The sequence below is a fragment of the Homo sapiens genome, chromosome X, assembly GCF_000001405.40.
Source record: "Homo sapiens chromosome X, GRCh38.p14 Primary Assembly".
Taxonomy (NCBI): domain Eukaryota; kingdom Metazoa; phylum Chordata; class Mammalia; order Primates; family Hominidae; genus Homo; species Homo sapiens.
This window is the reverse complement of record NC_000023.11, coordinates 149,726,352-149,729,556: the sequence shown is the minus strand read 5'-3', so window position 1 is coordinate 149,729,556 and position 3,205 is coordinate 149,726,352. Positions and strand designations below refer to the sequence as shown.

General features: G+C 39.1%; 1 annotated feature.

Moving 5' to 3' along the window:
* Positions 1,797-2,332: an enhancer, noted in NCBI's record as "OCT4-NANOG hESC enhancer chrX:148808885-148809420 (GRCh37/hg19 assembly coordinates)". NCBI's record gives its function as "activates a minimal SCP1, AML or CMV promoter by ChIP-STARR-seq in naive H9 embryonic stem cells {active_cell/tissue: H9 hESC(naive)}" and the evidence as "EXISTENCE:reporter gene assay evidence [ECO:0000049][PMID:30033119]".

The following is a 3,205-nucleotide window of genomic DNA, read 5'->3' as shown; positions in this document are numbered from 1 at the left end:
GCATGTAACAAGTGCTCTGCCTGTTTGATCATCAGAGAAATGCAAATCAAAGCTACAGTGAGATATCATCTCACCCCAGTTAGAATGGCTTATATCCAAAAGACAGCAACAACAAATGTTTGCAAGGATGTAGAGAACAGAGAACTCCCATACACTGTTGGTGGGAATGTAAATTAGTATAACCACTATGAAGAACAGTTTGAAGGGTCCTCCAAAAACTAAAAATAGAGCTACCATATGATCCAGCAATCCCATTGCTGAGCATATACTCAAAAGAAAGGAAATCAGTATATCAAAGAGATATCTGTATTCCCATGTTTGTTACAGCACTATTCAAAACAGCCAAGATTCGGAAGCAACCTAAATTTCCATCAACAGATGAATGGCTAAATAAAATATGGTACATATACACAATGGAGTGCTACTCAGCCATCAAAAAGAATGAGATTCTATCATTTGCAACAACATGGATGGAACTGGAGATCATTTTGTTAAGTCACAACAGGGTGACTATGGTCAATAGTTTTTAGTTATTTTAAAATAACTAAAAGAACATAATTGAATTGTCTGTAACACAAAGAGTAAATGCTTGAGGGGATGGGTACCCCATTTCACATGATGTGATTATTACACATTTCATGCCTGTATCAAAACATCTCATGTACTTATGAGATGTACAACTACTATGTACCCACAAAAGTAAGAATTCTTTAAAAATGACACATAAAATGTTTTAAAAATGCTATTCCCACAATTGATTTTCCTTGTCAAATATTAATGGTACCCATTTTAGTCTAAACATCCTTGATAAAAGAAAAAACATAGGAAGACTCACACTTCCTGATTTCAAAATTTATGACAAAGCAACTGGTCAAGACAGTAGTGGTACAAGGATAGAAGTATAGATCCATGAAATAGAATTGAGAGTCCAGAAATAAACTCATGTCTCTGGGGACAACTGATTTTAATAAGGGTGTCAAGAGAACCCAATGGGGGAAAGAATGATCTTTTCAACAAATGGTGCTGGGGCAGCTAGATAAGCACATACAAAAGAATGAAGTTTGACCTTACCTCACAGTATATACAAAAATTAACTCAAAATGAACAAAAGACCTAAATATAAGAGCTATTACTATAAAATTTGCAGAAAACAACATAGGGGTATATCTTCATGACCTTAGATTAGGCAAATAATTCCTAGATATGACACCAAAAGCATGAACAGAAAAAAAATAGATAAATTGGACTTCACAAAGATTTTAAACTTTTGGGCTTCAAAGGACACCATCAAGACAGTGAAATGCCAACCCAGCTGATGATTGTTCTTCTCAGATTTCTCAAAACTACTCCTGTACATTGTCGTATACTCCCTCCCCCTCTGGCTTCTTTCCCCTGGGTTCCAGGGTCCCTGTCCCTAGTGGGCTGAACTCTGGATTCAGAGCTCTGAGTGCCAGCCTGCCTGGGGCTCTGTGGACTTGGTTTTGCATGTGGTCTCACTCATGAACTCTGACAATTGCTCTCCCCTGGATCCACCCAATGCCCCTCACGGGCTGAGCATGTCCTGTCTGCTCTCCTTCCGTGCCTCCTGGTCAGTCTGACTGAATCTTTTTTCCTCAAATGAAAAACATATGTTGACATTTCAAAATTTTAAATTTTAAATCATGCCCAGAGGAATAGTCTTACTTAGAACACTGCATAAATCCAGCTTCGTATGGGTAAGAAATTAACTTAGTGTTCTAATTAACCTAGCTAGAAAATGCAGAGACACAAATTAAAGTAACATTGAGAAAATATTTTTCACTCATATTTTTGATCAAAATTTTAAAATTAATATAGTAAAATGTTCACGAGAGTATAAAATGTCCACATACATTAATGCCAGATCTGACTGGCAGACGCTGACCGAGCGATGGATAAAAAATGTACTCAGACACAGGTATCCAGTGAAAGAGAAGGCTAGGGGACTGGGCCATTCACATAAAGAGTTGTAGCAGCCATGGCCCCAACAAGCCGGCACTGCGGGCAAATATTCACTACAGATTTAATGACAAAGGCTTTGAGTCAACACATCTTGTGGGTAATTAACATGGCCGCCCCCCAGAGAGAGCAGTCCTGCACACAGATGGTTAAAGGCCAGGTTTCGGGCCTAAGTAAACTAACTGATCTAGATCAATTCCTTTACACTTCCTTGTTATCTGCTTTTTGCTCTCTGGCTTTGGATAAGAGACTTTGGCTGCCTTCAGCCAAATTTTTGAAGCTTTTGCAAAACCTCCTGGCCTTCCAAGGCTTGTGTTTTTCCTATAATTCCTTCTTATAATTTCTCCCACCACCCTGACCTATCTCTTACATCTCCCCCTTTTCTGTTTTTTTGCATCAGATTTTGTTGATTGAAGAGCACAGATGTGTACAGCAACATGTTTGTCTGGCACAGCGGTTATAACTCATATTCTGGCTTTGAATCCTAGAATTAGTAAATAACATAAGGCAAACATGAGTATAATTCACAACGTTCTTTTCCAATCAAGGAGTGACCCCCAGGAGTGGGGATCTATCCAGGAGAGATGTTCTCTCATACCCTTCCGTATGGCTATTTGTTGGGCTTGTAGGTCTATGGCGTTTAGGGATTCTAGAATTTTAGTTTTAAGTTGCTTTACGTCTGCTGTTAAATTATCACGAAAGGTTCCCCAGAGGTGCTGTTTCACCTTATCCCAACTATGTATTGATTGATTCCAAGGTAGAGAGGTAACACAGATGTGCCTAAGCTCCCAGTCACAGTTTAATTGCTGTTGGAACGCAAGTGCATCTTGTTGCTCCCCTACATATTCCAAGTCAGCCTCAAGGGCTTGCAGATGTGCAAGAATCTTTTGATCTATACCCTGCTGTAAGAGAAGTACATCAGACACATTTCTGGCCAAATTATCTACAAAAGTAGCTGTCTGTACTGATTCAGTAATAGATGCTACAGCAACACTAGCAGTTGCTAGGATGACTATGGCTGAGACCATAAAGGCTATAAGTGTAACTATAAATCTTTTGCGTCTGACCTGGGACAGGGCACATTCTAAGGTGGCAAGGGCAGAGGAACCTTGCCAATTGCATGTTAAATTGACCGGTAGGAAAGCCTCAGATTGTCTCCTCAATACCATGACACTAGCAATATTTAAATTAGATATATTATAATTAGTGATACAAGAGATGAACCAAG